Source organism: Homo sapiens, chromosome 5 (genome assembly GCF_000001405.40).
Source record: "Homo sapiens chromosome 5, GRCh38.p14 Primary Assembly".
NCBI lineage: Eukaryota > Metazoa > Chordata > Mammalia > Primates > Hominidae > Homo > Homo sapiens.
The window spans coordinates 5409727-5428884 of record NC_000005.10 but is presented as its reverse complement, the minus strand read 5'-3'; the positions used below and the strand labels follow the sequence as shown (position 1 = coordinate 5428884).

Sequence of the window (19158 nt, the reverse complement as noted above, 5' to 3'; positions counted from 1 at the left end):
AACGTTCGCTGAGGAATGCAAGGCTCTGCTGTTTAAACTTTCACAAACATGAAAGACAAAGACTAAATGAAGGAGGCTGAAGAGACATTACAATAAAATATAACACATATTCCTGACATGACTTTGAGTAAGAAAGCAAAAAGCCACTCCCAGGCCAGCAAGCAAAATCTGAATAGGTCTACAGCTGCACCAATGTTACTATCCTGATTTGGAGGGGTGTAGGGTAATTATGTTGGAAAACGTTCATATCTGGAGGAAGTATACCCTGGAACATGTACAGGAGACAAAGTGTATGTGTGCAGACAATGATGAAGCAAATGCAATAACATGTTAACAATTTGTGAATTTGAGAACATCAGGGTTATTTGTATTATTGTGGCAACTTTATTGTAAGTCTGAAATTATTTCAAAATAAATTATTTTTAAAAATCACACTACTCACATTTATTGCTTTGCTGGGAGAGATCTGGCTAATTGTTCAGCATGACTCCTCTCTGATAAACCACTTATTCCTGGTGTGCTTGCTGTTTACTAACTGCTCTTATTTAAAATCAAAGCCTACACTGATATCTAGCAGAGATGAGTGTGTCTTCTCACCTGTTAAAACCTCTGGCACAGCGTGGACTGGAACAGGGCAACAAGGCAGGAATGTCCACCTCTCTCTAACTGTGCCCCAACCACACCCACCCACCAAAACCAAGCAGAGTGGCTTCTGGGTGCTGGGAAGGCAAACCCCAGTCTCTCCAGCCCCACCTCAGTTATCCCCACCTTTACTCTGTGCTTCATCTATCGTCAACTACTTTCTCCCCTCCAGGCCTTGGCACAACTTGTTCTGTCTACAACACTCTCCCTCCATCTTTTCCCTCTTAGTTAACTGCAAATCATCTTTCAGACCTCAATTTAGATTCACTTTTATGAAGCCTTCAGAGAGGTGGCACAATTCCTATATAACTGTCCCTCCTACATGCTCCCAGAGTACCTCATATGTCCCTTACCATAATATTTATATTATACCTATACTGTGGTTGCTTTTCTACTTAACTGTAACCTCAACAAGAATGAGCTCCATGCCTCTTCTGTTCATCATTGTATTCTGAAACACAGGATAGCATCATATATACATCGAAGCTCAATAAATGTGTTTGGCAAATGAATGAATTACAATTTTGTAAGCATTCCTTGTAAAAGAACCATTTCTAAATCAATAGGTCTGGAATAAAATGTTTCAAGTTCCAAACGATGACACTTAAATCACTAGCGATTATCAATGGGAGTCCAGCACAAGTTTATGGACAGGCTCAAATCTGTTCCAAGGACAACCATACATCAAACTCACTGAATCTAATCTAGATACATGAGATGAACAATATAATCATGTGTTTCAAACTCTCATCTGGATCCCCAGGAGAATCCAACTGTTTTGCACTGCAGTGAAGTCAGCAAATATGGGCCTCTCCTTCATCAGAATAAAGAGACTATGTCAGCTTCACTAGCTTGACTTAAACACACACAACTTAAGACTTTACTTAACCATACATAATACATAATATGACTAGAGTGAGGACCCACACTGTTATATCTGACTGCCAAAGTTCTGCAACCCAGAACTTTGGGCATTGGGCTATGGATCAGCAATGAACTACTGTAATCAATGAGCGTAACAAAACAGATATGAAGTGATTTGTGAGACTACGAGCAAAAGACACAGAAAATGTAGTCAATCTGCACACTTCTGAATCAAATAATGATCTCTGCAAAGGTACTGTTATCTCTTCAACAACTAAAGAAAAAAAGGACAGGGAGGATTAAGAAATGAAAGGAAGATTTTCAGTGCAAGCAAACCACTATTCAAGACAGAGAGGCAAGTTAGCCTAACATTACAGTTCAGAATGAAGTCACAACACCAATATGGTTGCCTACCATTGGAAAGACTGACTCCTATGTTACACTTGTAAATTCTCTGCATGATCAAAAAGTTAAAACTATAGCACAGAATATCTTCTCTCTGTACCTCTTTAGTTTCTCTCTCACACGAAAGTTTAATTGAAATATGGAACTTCACGTAGTTATAATACATGCGAAAATTATTTCCAAAAAGCGGTTATCTACTAATTGACCAAAAGAATTGCTTTTCCTTAATTCTCATTCTTTCCGATCTTGGTTCCCTCTGGAACTCTTGATTCCCTCTGGAACGCACTCCCTGTTTAACCCTCTAACATACTTTATCTGTTTCTCCTTTCCTCACCATTCCATGTTCCCCTTCATCAAAGGCCACACATCAGCTAGTTGGTTTTCCGTCACTGACTCTAATGATAGCATGTAATCCCATGAATTGGCCTCATGGTTTCAAAGATTCCTTTAAGTGACAGAACATAATGCCCCATTTTCCTATCCTCACACCTCCCTTCTGTCAAATAAGCTTTTTTTTTTTTTTTTTGAGACGGAGTCTTGCTCTGTCACCCAGGCTGGAGTGCAGTGGTGGCACCATCTCGGCTCACTGCAACCTCGGCCTCCCAGGTTCAAGCAATTCTCCTGCCTCAGCCTCCTGAGTAGCTGGGATTACAGGCGCATGCCACCATGCCCGGCTAATTTTTGTATTTTTCGTAGAGACGGGGTTTCACCATCTTGGCCAAGCTGTTCTTGAACTCCTGACCTCGTGATCCACTGCCTTGGCCTCCCAAAGTGTTGGGATTACAGGCATGAGCCACCGCTCCCAGCCCAGATAAAATTCTTACACTGAACACAGTGCACATCTAACCTGGCCTGCTATTTCCTTGAGGGATATTAGGGCACCTTGGAAGCACTGTGTTCCACAAACATTAAATCTGAAAATGGCTGAACACTCCTAGTTCTGATGTCATTCCAACTTCAGTCCCTTCCACCTTGATTTCCTCTTCCTCCTGTATCTACCACAGTTCTCATGGTCATTTGAGTTTTAAACCTCGGGACCTTCCATTTCCTGACATGAGACCTGCCCATTCTTTACACTGTCTCATATTCAGAACCTTTTTCTTCTTTATTCCCCTTCCCAGGAACCTTCAATTACTTCAGACTTTTGTTATCACTATTATGTATTAGTAAAATAATTTACCATACCTAGTTGCACCCCCCTTCAATCCATCCTGCATACCACCGTTACTTCTACTACAAGCACTGTCCTAACGTAACTATGCAAAAACCTTCACCATCCCATAACACTGACAGAAATAAGTACAAGAATTTATGATGGTTACCATTCAAGGTTCTCTATAAACTGCCAGGAACCTATTTTTCTAGACTCACTTTGCACAACTACAGAATTCCTCCAGAGACTCTACTCGTAACTTTCCCCTAAAAAGGTAATCCAATTCCAGGCCACAGAAAATCCAAATGCAATAGTGTCCTGACCTAGAGAAGAACTCTGTAAACTAAGGCCCTACTCCAGTGTTTATAATGTTTCAATGGAACACAGGCATACTCATTTCTTTGTGAATTGTCTACAGCTGCTTTCACATGAAAATGGCAGAGCTGAGCAGTTCTGAGCAAGTCCCCAAAGCCTAAATACTTGTGATCTTGCTCCTTACAGAAAAAGTTTGCAGACCTCTGGATCTAGGATTACTCTTATTGATGTTTTGAGAACCCACAGCAGGAAATGTGGCAAGGGTAGAAGGAAGGAGATTCAATTTCTAGGCCATACATTAGAGTAGTTCACACCACGGTGGAAGCAGTGGAGATGTTGAAAAGTGGGTGAATAATGAAGGCAGAGCGGACACAATCTGATAAACTGGATACAGGTTATGAGAAAAAAAGAGCTGCACCAAGGATGCCATCTAGTTTCTGGCCTAAGCAACCAGAAGAATACAGTTGCTAAATTTAACCATAACAGATCCATGACTGAAAAGCACAGTTCACATCAGTAGTTCTTCTGCACAAAAGCCTCCAATGACTCACCATTTCCATCGCCCAAACCCCAACAATGGTCTACAGGAGCCCACACAATCAGGCCCTCCTCCTACCTTCCTGACTCCCAGCATTCACTCCGCTCCAGCTTCACTGGCCTTCTTGCTCTTCCCAAGCACACCAAGCCAGCTCCTGCTACAGTTCTTCACATCTGATGTTTCCACTGTATGGGAGACTTTTCTTCCAAGATTTCTACAGAGCTTATTATTCTCTCACCTTTGCTCCAATATAAACGTTCCAGGACTCCCTACTTAAATTCCAACAGCCACTGGCCTAGTCCTCACCCATTCATTCCCTCCCCATCTCTGTTCAATTCATCAACAACGTTTTCATTACCCTCTAACATAACTCATTTGTTTCATTTATCCTGCCACCCTCCTAGAACGGAAGCTCCAAGAGATCAAGAATTTTTGTCTTTTTCTCCCCTAATGCCATAATTGCAGTGTCTAAAATACGGCAGGTGATCAATAAATGTTTGTTGAGTGAATTGGCTCGAATAATAAATACAATGTATTAAAGATTCGGGAGAACTCCAATCACGTTCCTGGGGTGGTGGTGGCGGGGGCGGGGGGGCGTTATAAGATACCTACACAATGCAGCTCAGTGAAGGCAATGATCTGTTAGTTCTCCTTCTACTCACAAAAGCAGCACATTTCCTTCCTCCCCTTCCTTCAACACTTAAAATGTTTGCAATCAGTTCACAGATATTGCACTTAAAATGCAAACCAAGTTTCTCGGCATGGCCTACCTAGCCTGCACTCCCGTCTGGTCTCATCAACCATCTTCCGTGTGCACTATGCTCATGCCAACCATACCATGTTCTGCTCATCAAAGACACCCTGCTCCTTCTCACCAAAGGAACCTTTCCACCTGTTAATCCCTCTATCCAGGAAGCTCTTCCCACATCTCTTCTGACAGCCCGATCCTTCCCATTATTCAAATATCTGAAAGTTACTGACTCAAAAATTCCCTACCTGACTACTCTAGCTAAGAGACAAGACCAATATTCCAACATCCTCCTTTATTTTCTAACACCTAAAATCTTCTGAGGCCTTATTCACACATATGCATCTTACTTATGAGAGATCCTATTTTGTTCACCACAATGTCTGTAGTTCCTAGAACACTAGGCAGAGTAGGTAATGAGGTGCTGGTGAGTTCCGTTTTATCACTGAAACCGCGATAGTAGGAAGTTAAAAGAGACCCCCGACATCAGGCAGCTAGGAGAGTCGTGGGAAATGAGGGGCACTATTGCCCAAGTACCACCCCATAAGATCTGGAGCCATACTCTAGCAATTCTCCCTTATGTCACTCTAAAGAAGAGCCCACGCCGCTGTTAGAAACCTCCAGTCTCTGCATGCCTTTCATAAACTACTTTTATCAAACAACTGACAAGCTACTTGACCAATTACTTGGCTTGCTTTTTAAAAAATTAGCCTCGGGATGGCACATCTGCTATAAGCTGAAACGCCTCCCTAGACTCTTCGAGTCTAAGACTCAGACAACCCACATGTCACGTAAGATTCTGCCTCCAAACAACAAATACTCAGGATGGGCCAGAAGACCAAAGCGTTATCCTCAGGGAGATAACTGCCCTCGGCGTTTCACCTGTCCCTCACTGACCTACGGAGTCTGCCCTAGGGAGCTCCGAGGCCGGGTAGGGAAGGTGGGGGGCCCTCCAAACCTCGCTTACTCCACCCCCACCGTTACACCAGCGCATTCCAGTCAATGAACTCTGGGTTTCAAGCTTAAATAAAGCAAAGAAAGCCGTCCCCAAAACTCATGTAGGAAAAAGAGAGCAGAGAGACGAGCGAGCAAGAGCTACGGTTGGGAAGGGAGAGCAGCGCACTGAGGCACAGCCCGCGCGGCCGGACCCCACATCCCTGCGCTCCCGGCCGGCCGAGCCGAGTCCCCCCCCGCGCCCGGGGCCCCGGGAGGTGCTGCACCTGCTGCAGAGAGGCGCAGCCCTGACATCGCGACAGGTCCGCCGCCGTCCCGGGCGCCGCCGAATGGGTCTCGCCCGGCATCATGGTGCCGCCGCCGGGCCCGGTGGGCACGCACGCCTCAGGGGCCCGCGGCGTCGGCCCCGTCCTGTCTCTGCTGATGCCGCCGGGGCCGCCGCCTGCCAGGCCGCTTCCCGCCAGGTCCGGGCGGGTCCATCCGTGCACAGAGGTCCCCGTGGGGCTAGCAAAAGGCTCTCCGAGCCAGAGCTGCCTCAGGCACTAAAAAGAAACGCTACCCGGCGCGGCCCCCGAGCGCGACGCAGTCCAGTCAGGGCCCCGCCCCGCCCTGGCTCGCCCCGCCCCGCCCTGGCTCGCCCCGCCCCTCCCCTGGGCGCGGGGCTGCCTAAGGCGCTGCCTGAGCAACACCGGGAGAGGAGCTGTGCTATGCGGCGGGGGAGACGCCCACAGAGGAGCAGCCAATAGGAGTAGAAGGATCGAAGGTGCATTCCTACCACTGTTAAGGGTCGATCCTTTATTGCCACCTTGCTGTACGACAGGCTTTCCATAGACACCTAAAGGCCTCCGCTATGTGGGCGGTGACCCGCCCGTGACGTAAGCTCCAGACGCCTGAGAAGTGGAAGGACCCGGCGTCCAGGACAGGAAAGTGCGTGATTTACAGCTAGAGGGATAGGCGCTGTCCCGGAGCCCGTCCTGGGCCAGGGAGCAGGAGAGGGAGGGACTACAGTTCCCGACGCGCTGCGGGGCGGGCGGAGATCGTGCGCTTCGGCGCCAGTTGCACGGCCTTAGCAGCCAGTGGCGGCTCCCCTGCTCCTGTAACAGTCCCCTTGTCTTCTGACCTTTCGCTCCTCGGTCATGTGTCCTCGCCGGTCGCCGCGGCAGCCAGTGATGCCCGAGCGGCGGGTTCCCAGGCCCAGGTGTGGGCGCCACCGCCCACCATGCGCCAAGCCCAGAGCCTGGTTGAATCGTTCGCCACCTTGTCTACCCATTTTGGCCATTATCCTGCCACCTCCAAATCCTGTTTTTGACACTTCTCGGGAGAGAGAGAAAACGGAAAGATAAAGGAATAAACTCCTCGTGGTCGTAGTTAGTGGGTAAATTCAGATCTCGTTTGAACCGAGGTTTTTCTTATCTCCAGCCACCGTATCCACCACCACCAGAATCGTCTTTTTAGTCATCACAGCTGGTCGCCGTCAGTACCTTGTTCAGAAGCCTCTCGCAGCTTCCATCGTGTGGTTATACAATCCAAATTCCTTATAAAGTCCAAATTCAAGAGGAGGAATGCACGTTTAGTTAAGTTAATGTCTAGACCTTACCAGCCAATTTCTAGCTCCTCAGTATGGAAATTGCAACTGAAAACACCCCTTCCAAAAAAAGCAGTCTGCATTTTTCTCTGAGTTTTCTTCTCCAAATTTCGCACCCCTGACCTTGCTTACACACTCTGGATACCACCTGCTGTGGAGTGGCGGAAGCAGACATCCAGCGATAGCTAAGTTTCCTGTCGTTGACACCCAAGCAAGACAGGCGTGTACCTAACTGAGGACCTGCCGGTGATAGAAGTCTCAGCTTTTCTCAGAGACAGGTGGGCAGAAAACAAGGGTAAAGTTAAAAAAGAAAAGGGAAGTGAGCAGATCCATAGCGGGACGCAGCTATACAGTGGAAGACAGACCATGTGACCCATTAGGGAAAGGGGCAGCAGGTATTAGAGAAAGACCTGTAGGGATCATGATCGTCCCGGTGCTAGCGTCTGATCCCAGACAAATTTATCTTCACCATTACTTCCCTTTTATGTACAGTTACTTAAATGTGTGTTTTTCCAAAGTACCTTACTGGAGAAGACACCAGCTCTCTCTCCCTCTACACCATCCACCCGCAGCCATGACGCACTTTTATGATTAGGGGCACTTGGAGTTCTCACTGCTGCCTCCCTGTCTGTGCACCCTTGCTAGTGTTTTCCCCTTACCTGGAACACGCTTCCTTCTAGCTCTAGGTGTAGAAATCCTACCTGCTCTTCCAGGCTCCGGGGTTTACCTCCACAACCCCAAGGATCTGCCACCTAAGGGGCAAAAAATCCCCTTAGCACGGAGTAATTTTTAGTAACATCACATTTTGAGTTGGATGATGGTGGTTTTTATGTCTTACAGATGAGTCTTCCCTTTAAATGCTGCAAAGTGCTGCATAGTAGATGTTAAATGAAAGTCAGAAAGAATCAAATGTGCTGCAAATAATTGAAGGTAAGAAACAACAAATATTTCCCTTCAAAAATGTTAATAAAAGTGTATTTTCTCCTACCTTTCTCAAAGCCAGTTCTCAAGACATCTAATGAAAACGAGTCTTGTTTACGTAATGCAGGGATAGGCAGACTCTGAAGAGCCACATGGTAAATATTTAAGCTTTGTAGGTCACACAGGTCTGTGCCACCTATTTGTCACCTTCTGTTTATTTAAGAAACTTCAAAATGTGAAAGTCATTCTTAACATGCAGGGTGTAAAAAAACAGGTGTGATTATTGGTCATAATGAAAATGTAGTAGGCCACTAATTGAGGAATGGTCAGAATTACATTTTTTCTCTTTCCTGCATGATGGGCCACACCTGTTTTTTCATCACGATGGAAACAAACAAGCAAGTGTGTATACTGCAAGTGGTGAACTATGGCTTTGGAACCACACATCTGTCTTTAAATTCTTACGCAAATGACCTATTTGTGCTGGTGTTTCCTTACAGAGGACCAACGGTAATTTAAGTAAAAAGTGACAAGGATGGGACCCACTCTATAGGATTCACTAGACAAATAGTTATTAATAATTTATTGATGGTGGTATCCATTTTGGAAAGGAGATAAATATATCTTCAACTGACTCATAGGAAAAAGATGGTTTGCTTTTTCTTTAAAAGCATTTTTCCTGTCAAACTTCCAAGATAAACTTGTTGTTTTTCTGCCAGAGAAGCCCTAAGACCCGGAGGAATGTCTGCATTCCAGTCTCTGGTCTTGGGATTCCCTGTGCCTGTCGAATCCAGCCAGCTGTTCAGAGGATCCAACTCAAAAAGTCTCACTTCTCACCCCACACGCTCATTACCTCTCAGATACTTGGTGTCTGCTTAAAACGAAAGCTCTGGAATTAGCATCATTGAGAGGTAACTGTTGATTTAGTTTATTAACATATACTTCCACTGAAATGGCTAATAGATATGGTCTAGAAACCAAGGAGAACTCAAAATGGAAAGCTGTCTATTCTTTGGAAGTTCAAGGCTGTGCTTTTAATTGATGCATTTAACTGTAAGAAAAATGAACTATATGTTCATTTGTTTCTTTTAATTGGAGAGATGTTTGATGGAATTGTTTGTGACTAACAGTGTGTTATTCAATGATATGACCCCCTGATTATTAGGTATTAATTTCCAGACCTGTGATGTAATGCTACCATATGCCCACAAGATGTCTGTCTTTCCCTGTGTGTTTTCCACATAAATAGAATTTCCGACGGTATTAGGACTTAACCGAACCTTCTTGCTGAGGGGAAAGGCCATCCTCTGGGGCATCCTAGGGTGGAAGGCGTCTTGTGGGAACCACTTTGCTATCCGCCCACACACGTTCCACCAGGCTTAGTCCTAAGCTGTCTTTGCTCCAGTTTTTCTCAACACTCAGGGTTATAGTGGTGGGGTTTCGACTTGTCCTCAGACATCAGCAATTTGCTCACAGCCTCAGCTCTTACCCTCAAAGTGATTTGAAGCCAGAGAGTAAACATGTTGCTTCTTCCTGAAACACTGATGTTACTTAGAAACCGGACAAATAAAATTTAGTTTTGAAACAATTAGTTTGAAATAGAAAGCAAAACTGATATGATTATTAAGCAAAATTTTCTTCAACCTGAGAAAGCTGATTGAGAAAAGTAAAAAAAAAAAAAGCAACATTTGAAAGGACTTTCACAACTCTCACATTGCAGTCGCCCTCTGTAAAGGAGGACAAGCCCACTCTGCCTTGCGGGTTTGTGAACACCTGGCGGCTGTAAGAGTTGGTCACACGAGAAGCTTCTTGTAGCTTCCGGGATCGGAGGAAGAAGGCGGCAGGTGCTCAGAGGTGACAGGTGTTGAGGAGGGGATTCTCTGTAGAGCAGCTGGCAAGGGCATGTCCCACCTAACTCTGAGGAGGGATAGGAAAGGGAGGGACATGTTTCCCCTTCACCTGAGGCCAGTGGGGGGTCTCCTTGGTTTCTAGACCACATCTAGCAGCCATTTCAGTGGATGTATATGTTAATAAATTAAATCAACAGTTGCCTCTCGATGATGCTATATTCCAGAGCTTTGTTTTAATCAGTGCCCCCACGAAGTGAAGCACTCAGAGTCAGATGCTACATGCCCTAGAGTGGTTCCAAGGGAACCGTGGGACAGCTCCAGGAGATGGGTTGGAGGTGACTGAGCCGCATGCTCACCCGCACTGGGATGAGCAGGAGTTCTGCATACTGGATACGGTGGGCATTTCAGTGGGAGCTGCGAGGAAAGCGAGGCTGAGGCAAAGTGAGCAGCCAGAAATAAAACTTTGCTCTTCCATCCCCCATTCAAAGAACTGTAGCTGGATGTCCACAGCTGGAAAGTCCTCACTTTGAACTGTATCCACACAGCACCAGTGGCAGCCACTCACCAAAACTTGTTTCTATTCTGTCTAGTTATTCCCCAGCCTCCCTGCACCTGACATGTGATTAAGTTCTACCAGCCAAACATCAGCAAAAGGGGCCTGGCCCCTAGGGCCTTCCTGTGCTCTTTGTCACTTCCTGCTGACTGGAAGAGGGATGAATCCCAGGACCCTGAGCTGGTGGTTAAGTTACTGTCTCTCGGCCCCACACCTTCCCTTTTATACTCTGCCTTGTGACGTAGGGACTGGGGAGCCACGTGCCACCTCTCCTGCCAGAGTTCTGTTCAGCTGTGCCAACAGATATACACAAGGAAACCAGAAGATAAGAGGTAGGAGAGGGGCCTGTGCCTCCCATTCTGTCCTGTCCGACTCCTGGTCCTGCTAGCGTCTTGCTATCCTTGCTTTCGCACCTGGCAGTGGCAGTTCATGAACAGAGCGGCATACGAATTGGGTCTGCAGTTTCTCTGACACACGCAGAGCCAGCCTCATAGCATCCCCTCGGAGATACCAGCAAAGTTGGTTTCCCAGCTCCACAGAGCCCTGAGTCCAAGAGCAGAGGCCTCAGCACCAGCCCAGAAGGTCCCTTCTTCATATGTCTGAGTGTGATTTCTGGGTGGCAGCTCCTCCACATTTCTGAGTTTTGCTCACTCCTTCCTCCTTCTTTTATTCTCTCCAGCCCAAGGTGTCAGCTGCTTCTTGCGGTGGCTCCTCCTGTGATATTTTAGTGTTTTGCTTTTACCTTTTCTCTCTTAAAATAATCTGGGTGTAATGTGGGTCTCCTGGCTGAGCTCTGCCCCAGTCCTGTGCGGAAGATGCTCTTCCGTCCCAAGGAGCTCGCTGCAGGAGAGAAGCCCACCCCACCAGCCTGTTCTTTGTTCTTGGACTATGACTCAAGCACTTTGGGAAGCCAGGTTACAAAGACTGCATCTTTTTCTCCTGATCCCTTCTCCTACCCCAAGCTTGGAGGGGTCACAAACAAGCTGGTGAATAAGGAAAATGTTGGAACAGAGGAAAAGCCTGTCTTGCCCCATTCCCACCCACCCACACCCATCTTGCTAGCGTCTAAGAACGGCCACCAGCTCCATGGGTAAGAAGCTAAGTTGAAGACAGGAAATAAGTGACAGCACATCACACTGGACTGTGTTGTCTCCGAGTGACTGGAAAGGCTAGGGTGTGTGCCCAAGACTGCATCTGGGGTAAGAAGGAGCCCAGAGGACAAATCCCACAGACAGCAATGATTTAAAAACCAAGACATGGAGGAAGTGACTTTATGATCATCTTCTGCTCAGTACTGCCCTTGCTGAGGCATGTGCAGCCCCTTCTCCTCCTCCTCCTCCTCCCCCTCCTTCCCCCTCCCTCCCCGTCCTCCTTCCCCTCTCCCTCCTCCTCACCCTCCTCCTCCTCTTCCTCTTCATCCTCCTCCTCCTTCTGACTCACCTCCCAATGAATTCCTCAGTTGTTGTGTGTGCCCAGCTCTCATCCTTCACAGTGCACAGCTCCAATCAGCCCCTCTGCAATATTGGGCTTGGCGTGCAAGTGGCACCCCCTTCCATCCTAGGCAGTAAATCCAACCAGTTCTCTAAGGTCCATTCAAGTCCAGTTTCTATGGGAAATGTCCTTGATAGAGTTTTGAATATCAAACTTTTTTGGTTTTTTTTTTTGGTATCATTCTTGGTCCTTCCCTTTTTTTCCTTTGTCTCCTCGCCACATATAAGCAGCATGAGTTCTGTTGGTAAGATAGCTGTCTGCCTGTCCCACCACAGCCATCATGGTCGCTGCCATCCCTGGCAGCCGGTTCTGTCCTGGGTCCTGCGAGGAGCATCTCCCTGCAGCACGATGCCTGCATGTGCCCCTGTTCTCCCACTTGCTAGGACCGAAAACTGAGGAGTTTGTCTGACTCCTCTTTACTCCCACGCCCTGTCACGGGGTCAGCCAGCCATAGTCAGCATGTGTGTGACTCCCAGCACCTCTCACTGTGTGCATCATCCTCTCCAGTCCTTGTGCCCTGACATCCGTGCCAGTGGGCAGAACCCACTCTACTTACTGTCATGTCCCCAACACCCAGACCGTGTCTCCTAAACATCAGTTACCAAGAAATGATTGCTGAATCAGTAAGCTGAGTGAATTAATACATTAATATGTTAAACAGCTGATATCTGGGTAAAAGTATAATCCAGTGAGGTTAAAAAGCAAAAGCTGCAGCAATCATGCTCCTTGGTCTTTACCGAGATGAGTTGAAACTTAACATCACACACAATCCTGCACATGAGTTGAAACTTAACATCACACACAGTCCTGCACATGAATATTTAAGCAGCTTTATTCAGAATTGTCAAAACATGGAAGAAAGCAAGATGTTCCTTTAGTAGGTGAATGGATAAATCAACTGGGATGCATGCAGACTGAATTAGTCTGTTCTCACACTACTATAAAGAACTGCCCAAGACTGGGTAATTTATAAAGGAAAGAGGTGTAATTGACTCACAGTTCCACAGGGCTGGGGAGGCCTCAGGAAACTTACAATCATGGAGGAAGGGGGAAGCAAACATGCCCTTCACATGGCAGTAGGAAAGAGAAGTGTCAAACAAATACGGGAAAAGCCCCTTATAAAACCCTCAGATCGTGTGTGAACTCACTATCATGAGAATAGCAACATGGGGGTAATCACCCTCGTGATTCAATTACCTCCCGCTGGGTCTCTCCCACAACACATGGGGATTATGTGAGCTACAATTCAAGATGAGGTTTGGGTGGGGACACATCCAAACCATATCACAAACCATGGAATATTATACAGTGCTAAAAAATAAATGAGCTCTCAAGCCATGAAAAGGCATGGGGAAACCTTAAATGAACATTACTAAGGGAAAGAAGTCAACCTGAAAAGGCTACATGCTGTGTCCTTCCAACTATATGGCATTCTAGAAAAGGGAAATGATAGAGACATTTTTAAAAAAAAAAAAAAGTGGTTTCCTTGGTTTGAGATAGGGGAGGAAGGGATGAACAGGCAGAAGGATTTTTAGGGCAGTGAAAGAATTCTGTATATCATAGCGGTGGATACATGTGTTACATTTGTCAAAACTCCTAAAATGTCCAACACTGAGTGAACCCCAATGTAGACTATGAACTTTGGCGTGACACGTAACAATGTGTCAGTGTAAACTCACTGGTTATAACAAACGTACCACTATGAGTGTGGTGTTGATAGTGGAGGAGGCTGTGCATGCATGGGGGCAGGTGGTATATGAGAACTCTGTCCTTTTTGCTTGATTTTGCCGTGAAAGTAAAACTGCTCTAAAAAATAAAGTCTCTTTGGAGAAAAAAAGACAACAAAAACCAAGAGCAAACTTCCAGGCAGTGGGAGTAATGACAGGAAGTCTCCCTATCTGGAGTGAATGTGGCATGTTAAAGCATCAGAAGTCAGCTCAGGTAACCCAGACTATAGTGAACAAGGAGCCACTTGGTATTGATTTACTTAAGAGGAGGGATGGGGCACAGGCCAGATCATGTAGAGTCTTGTAAGCCAGGGTAGAAAAGTTTTAGATCTTTGAAGAGGTTAAAGAAATGGAGTGGCATAATCTGACTTTACTTTAAACATATTTCATACTGCCTCTCATGGGAGATGGACTGGGACAAGGCAGCAGAAGAAGCCAGGACACCAGGGACCAGGCTGTGATCCAGGACACAGAGAATGGAGGCATGGCTGCAGTCCTGGCAGTGGAGTTAGATGGAAATAGAAGGAGCGAGGATCCCAAAGTGTATTCCAAAGAGGCTGTACTACATCCTACCAGCAGTATATATGAGTGTCCAATTCCTCCCCTTCCTTGCCAACACTAGATATAATCAGTCTCTTAATTTTAGCCAATTTAATATGAGTGTGGTAGTAATTCCTCTTGTGTATTTCCTTAATGCACACTTCCTCAATTTGCTTTTCTTTTTAATTAATTAATTAATTTTATTTTACTTTAAGTTCCAGGATACATGTGCAGAACGTGCAGGTTTGTTACACAGGTATACTTGGGCCATGGTGGTTTTGCTGCACCTATCAACCCATCATCTAGGTTTTAAGCCCCACATGTATTAGGTATTTGTTCTAATGGTCTCTGTCCCCTTGCCCCCCATCCCCGACAGGCTGTGGTGTGTGTTGTTCCCCTCCCTGTGTACATATAGTCTCATTGTTCAACTCCCACTTAGGAATGAGAACATGCGGTATTTGGTTTTCTGTTCCTGTGTTAGTTTGCTGAGGATGATGGCTTCCAACTTCATCCGTGCCCCTGCAAAGGACATGAACTCATTCTTTTTTATGGCTGCATAGTATTCCATAGTGTATGTGTACCACATTTCTTCATCCAGTCTGTCATTAATGGGCATTTGGGTTGGTTCCATGCCTTTGCTATCGTAAATAGTGCTGCAATAAACATACGAGTGCATGTGTCTTTATAGTAGAATGATTTATATTCCTTTGGGTATATACCCAGTAATGGGATTGCTGGGTCAAATGGTATTCGTGGTTCTAGATCCTCAATGAATCACACCACACTGTCTTCCACAGTGGTTGAACTAATTTACATTCCCACCAGCAGTGTAAAAGCATTCCTATTTCTCCACAGCCTCACCAGCATCTATTGTTTCTTGACTATTTAATACTCACCATTCTGACTGGCGTGAGATGGTATCTCATAGTGCTTTTGATTTGCATTTCTGTAATGATCAGTAATGATGAGCTTTTTTTCATATGTTTGTTGGCCACATAAATGTCTTCTTTTGAGAAGTGTCTGTTCATATCCTTTGCCCACTTTTTTATGGGTTTTTTTTTTTTCTTGTAAATTTGTTTAAGTTCCTTGTAGATTCTGGATATTAGACCTTTGTCAGATGGGTAGATTGCAAAAATTTCTCCCTTTCTGTAGATTGCCTGTTCACTATGATGCTAATTTCTTTTGCTGTACAGATGCTCTTTAATTTAATTAGATCCCATTTGGCAATTTTGGCTTTTGTTGCAATTGCTTTTGGTGTTTTCATCATGAAGTCTTTGCCCATGCCTATGTCTGGAATGGTATTGCCTACATTTTCTTCTAGGGTTTTTATGGTTTTGGGTTTTACATTTAAGTCTTTAATCCATCTTGAATTAATTTTTGTATAAGGTGTAAGGAAGGGGTCCAATTTCAGTTTTCTGCGTATAGCTAGCCAGTTTACCATTTATTAAACATTGCTTGTTTTTGTCAGATTTGTCGACGATCAGATGGTTGTAGATGCATGGTGTTATTTTCTGAGGTCTCTGTTCTGTTCTGTTGATCTATATGTCTGTTTTGGTACCAGTAGCTGCTGTTTTGGTTACTGTAGTCTTGTAGTATAGTTTGAAGTCAAGTAGCATGATGCCTCCAGCTTTGTTCTTATTGCTTAGGATTGTCTTTGCTATATGGGCTCTTTTTTGGTTCCATATGAAATTTAAAGTAGTTTTTTTTTCTAATTCTGTGAAGAATGTCAATGGTAGCTTGATGGGAATAGCATTGAATCTGTAAATTAATTTGGGCAGTATGGCCATTTTCACAATATTGATTCTTCCTATTCATGAGGATGGAATGTTTTTCCACTTGTTTGTGTCCTCTCTTATTTCCTTGAGCAGTGATTTTTAGCTCTCCTTGAAGGGGTCCTTCATGTCCCTTGTAAGCTGCATTCCTAGGTATTTTATTTTCTTTGTAGCAATTGTGAATGGGGGTTCATTCATGATTTTGCTCTCTGCTTGTCTATTGTTGGTGTATAGGAATGCTTGGGAGTTTTGTAAATGTTTAACATACATGTATTATATGATGCAAACATCCCACTTCTACATATTGACCCAAGATAAATGAAGACATTTGACTATATAAGATTCGTACTGGCTGGGCATGGTGGCTCATGCCTGTAATCCCAGCACTTTGGGAGGCCAAAGTGGGTGGATCATCGCAGATCAGGAGTTTAAGCCAGCCTGGCTAACATGGGAAAACCTCATCTCTACTAAAAATACAGAAATTAGAGGGGTGTGGTGGTGTGCACCTGTAGTCTCATTTACTCTGGAGGTTGAGGCAGGAGAACTGCTTGAACCCAGGAGGCAGAAGTTGCAGTAAGCTGAGATCGCACCACTGCACTCCAGCCTGGGTGACAGAGCGAGACTCCATCTCAAAAAAAAAAAAAAAATTAATACTCATGGGAACTTTATATGTAATAGCCAGAACTTGAAATCAAGCCAAATGTTAACTGGTGAATGGCTAAACAAACTGGTGAATGGCTAAACAAACAAATGTTAATGGGCAAATGGCTAAGCAAACTGTGACATTCATATTTTATTGTGGAATTGTATTGCATTCTATTGATAGTATGCAAACAGTTTCCCAATAAAGAATGAATGAATTATTGATATATGCTACAAAATTATTGAATCTTATGCTGCATGAAAGAAGCCAATAAAAAAGAGTACATACCATGTGATTTCATTTACGTAAAATTCTAAAAAATGCAAACTAATATATAGTGACAGGAAGCATATCAGTGGTAGCCTGGGGATAGTAGGGAGAAGCAAGAAAGAGGGGTTACAGAAAGTCCCAAGGAAACTTTTGCAGATGATGATATGTTCATTATCTTAATTATGGTGCTCATTTCACGGGCATATACATATGTCAAAACTTATCAAGTTGTGCACTTTAAATATGTGGGGTTTATTATATGTCAATTATACTTTAATAAAGATGTTAAATAGAAAGTAAATGCAAGGTAATGACAGGGAATTTCAAATAAAATAACTGAAAAAAAAAAGAAGAAGGAGTGAGGATTCATGCAGTTATTGCCAGCAAGGCAGTCATGGGGATTACATGTAGAATTAAGGAAAATCATCATGAGCGACTCCTGAGATTCCAGCTTGAACCACTAGAAAGTAAGAGTACAGAAGGGGTGGGAAGTTGTCATCCTGAACTGGGAATGAAGAGTCAGCTTTAGGCAGGAAATTGAGATGTGTTACTTCAAAGATACCTGTAACTCAGAGGAGATTGTTTACTTTCTTTCTAGATTTAACAAAGAAAGATCACACAGCTCTTACAGACGTGGAGACTTGGAAGTTCAAGGTTTAGGGGCTACATCTGGTGAGGGCCTTCTTGCTGGTAGAGACACACTGTAGAGGTCCAAGGCAGTGCAGAACATCACATGGTAGGGACTCAGCAGAGATGGCGAAATTGGCTCTTAGTATAGATCTGTTCTTCTGAAAACCAACCCGTGCCCTCTATAACCCATTAATCCAGGACTAGATTACTCCACTCACCTCTTAAAGACTCCACCTCTTTTTCTCTTTTTTTTTTTGTTTTTGTTTTTGTTTTTGACTTGGAGTTTCGCTCTTGTCGTCCAGGCTGGATTCCAATGGTGCAATCTGGGCTCACTGCAACCTCCGCCTCCTAGGTTCAAGTGATTCCCCTGCCTCAGACTCATGAGTAGCTGGGACTACAGGCATGCACCACTATGTCCAGCTAATTTTTGTATTTTTTTTTTTTGTTAGTAGAGACAGGGCTTCACCATGTTGGCCAGGATGGTCTTCACCTCCTGACCTCAAGTGATCCACCCACCTCAGCCTCCCAAAGTGCTGGGATTATAGACATGAGCCACTGTGCTGGCCCTTCACCTCTTAGTACTGTGATACTGGGAATTAAGTTTCAACATGGGTTTCAGAGAGAATAAACATTTAATAACAACATGTTTGGCCAGAAATTTTCTTGTGGCCTCATCTTCCAGCCCTGACATAAAGAAAAACAGTGCTACACTTGAACAACACATTCCAGATATGTGCTGAAAGTTTCAAGACTTTTACACGTTATTCAACTTACACCATAGTGAAAAAGAGTCTTCACGGCAAAAAAAAAAAAAAAAAAAAAAAAAGATAGGAAAGTATGAACCCCAAATGTCTCTTGAATATATCCTCTTTATTTATATTATAAATTTCTATTAAAAGATTTCCTGTCTAGTAAGGGGCTTTATGAGTGTTAAGAAGAAAACTTAAATATCTGTTGAAGTACAGGTTGAGACCTCTTCGAAAGTTCAGAAATAAGATACGAGAAGGACTTTTGCAAAGACATATAATCAGACTCTGAAAAACACATTGCAGGTTGTCAGACTCATCCTTGCTTTCAAGAACTGGCTAAGAAACTCAAAGGTGTTGGAAAGGAAGAGGAAAGGAAAAATGCAGACGATGTTTCCTTTTTCCCCCCCAGAAGTATAAACAATCATGGAGACTTTTGATCAGGCAAAGTTATCTGAGATTCTGCCAAAGTCAGGTAGTTCTATCACTTAGAAACACTTCAGTTGTAAGAAACAGAAAGTTCAACTTCATTTTATGTTACAGAAATGTATTGGCTCATGTAACTTGTCAGATCCAGAGTTCAGTGGATCTGACCTTGGGATTCTATTTCAAGGATCAGACAAGCCCCCTCTTCATAATCACCTGATGGGTTATAGCCACTCCTTGGTCTGCATCCCTCTGGGTTCTCATCCGCTAGGAAAGAACATCTATGCCAGCCACTAGCAAACAAAATCCCATGTTTCACTATGTTTGGCTCACTTGGGTCAGGTGCTCATACTGGACCTCACACCAGTCCTGCAGCTGAGAGAAG

General features: G+C 44.5%; 1 protein-coding gene and 1 long non-coding RNA gene across 10 annotated transcripts in view, besides 7 other annotated features; one reads left to right on the top strand and one right to left on the bottom strand.

Moving 5' to 3' along the window:
* The window catches only part of ICE1 (interactor of little elongation complex ELL subunit 1), a 67544-nt gene extending 61336 nt beyond the window's left edge, over nucleotides 1-6208 (bottom strand). For all 4 annotated transcript variants that reach the window (NM_015325.3, XM_011513999.3, XM_047417046.1 and 1 more), the window contains exon 1: nucleotides 5886-6208. In NM_015325.3, the coding sequence (NP_056140.1) occupies nucleotides 5886-5969 (84 nt within the window). In that variant the 5' untranslated portion in view covers nucleotides 5970-6208. The remainder of the gene's footprint in view (nucleotides 1-5885) is intronic.
* Nucleotides 5776-5915: a silencer, noted in NCBI's record as "silent region_15892". NCBI's record gives its function as "represses an Ori minimal core promoter by ATAC-STARR-seq in GM12878 lymphoblastoid cells {active_cell/tissue: GM12878}" and the evidence as "EXISTENCE:reporter gene assay evidence [ECO:0000049][PMID:35858748]".
* Nucleotides 5976-6305: a silencer, noted in NCBI's record as "silent region_15891". NCBI's record gives its function as "represses an Ori minimal core promoter by ATAC-STARR-seq in GM12878 lymphoblastoid cells {active_cell/tissue: GM12878}" and the evidence as "EXISTENCE:reporter gene assay evidence [ECO:0000049][PMID:35858748]".
* Nucleotides 6336-6585: an enhancer, noted in NCBI's record as "active region_22324". NCBI's record gives its function as "activates an Ori minimal core promoter by ATAC-STARR-seq in GM12878 lymphoblastoid cells {active_cell/tissue: GM12878}" and the evidence as "EXISTENCE:reporter gene assay evidence [ECO:0000049][PMID:35858748]".
* Nucleotides 6336-6961: a biological region, named in NCBI's record as "H3K27ac hESC enhancer GRCh37_chr5:5422037-5422547".
* Nucleotides 6451-6961: an enhancer, noted in NCBI's record as "H3K27ac hESC enhancer chr5:5422037-5422547 (GRCh37/hg19 assembly coordinates)". NCBI's record gives its function as "activates a minimal SCP1, AML or CMV promoter by ChIP-STARR-seq in primed H9 embryonic stem cells {active_cell/tissue: H9 hESC(primed)}" and the evidence as "EXISTENCE:reporter gene assay evidence [ECO:0000049][PMID:30033119]".
* Nucleotides 6756-19158, top strand: part of LOC101929200 (uncharacterized) — a 163580-nt gene continuing 151177 nt past the window's right edge. For 5 of the 6 annotated variants that reach the window (XR_001742583.3, XR_007059119.1, XR_241729.6 and 2 more), the window contains exons 1-2: nucleotides 6756-7482; nucleotides 8045-8134. This is a non-coding gene — a long non-coding RNA (uncharacterized LOC101929200). Of the gene's footprint in view, nucleotides 7483-8044; nucleotides 8135-10773; nucleotides 18246-19158 lie in introns of those variants that run through there. The other variant, XR_002956209.2, reaches the window with a different exon arrangement.
* Nucleotides 6962-7474: an enhancer, noted in NCBI's record as "H3K27ac hESC enhancer chr5:5421524-5422036 (GRCh37/hg19 assembly coordinates)". NCBI's record gives its function as "activates a minimal SCP1, AML or CMV promoter by ChIP-STARR-seq in primed H9 embryonic stem cells {active_cell/tissue: H9 hESC(primed)}" and the evidence as "EXISTENCE:reporter gene assay evidence [ECO:0000049][PMID:30033119]".
* Nucleotides 9533-9602: an enhancer, noted in NCBI's record as "active region_22323". NCBI's record gives its function as "activates an Ori minimal core promoter by ATAC-STARR-seq in GM12878 lymphoblastoid cells {active_cell/tissue: GM12878}" and the evidence as "EXISTENCE:reporter gene assay evidence [ECO:0000049][PMID:35858748]".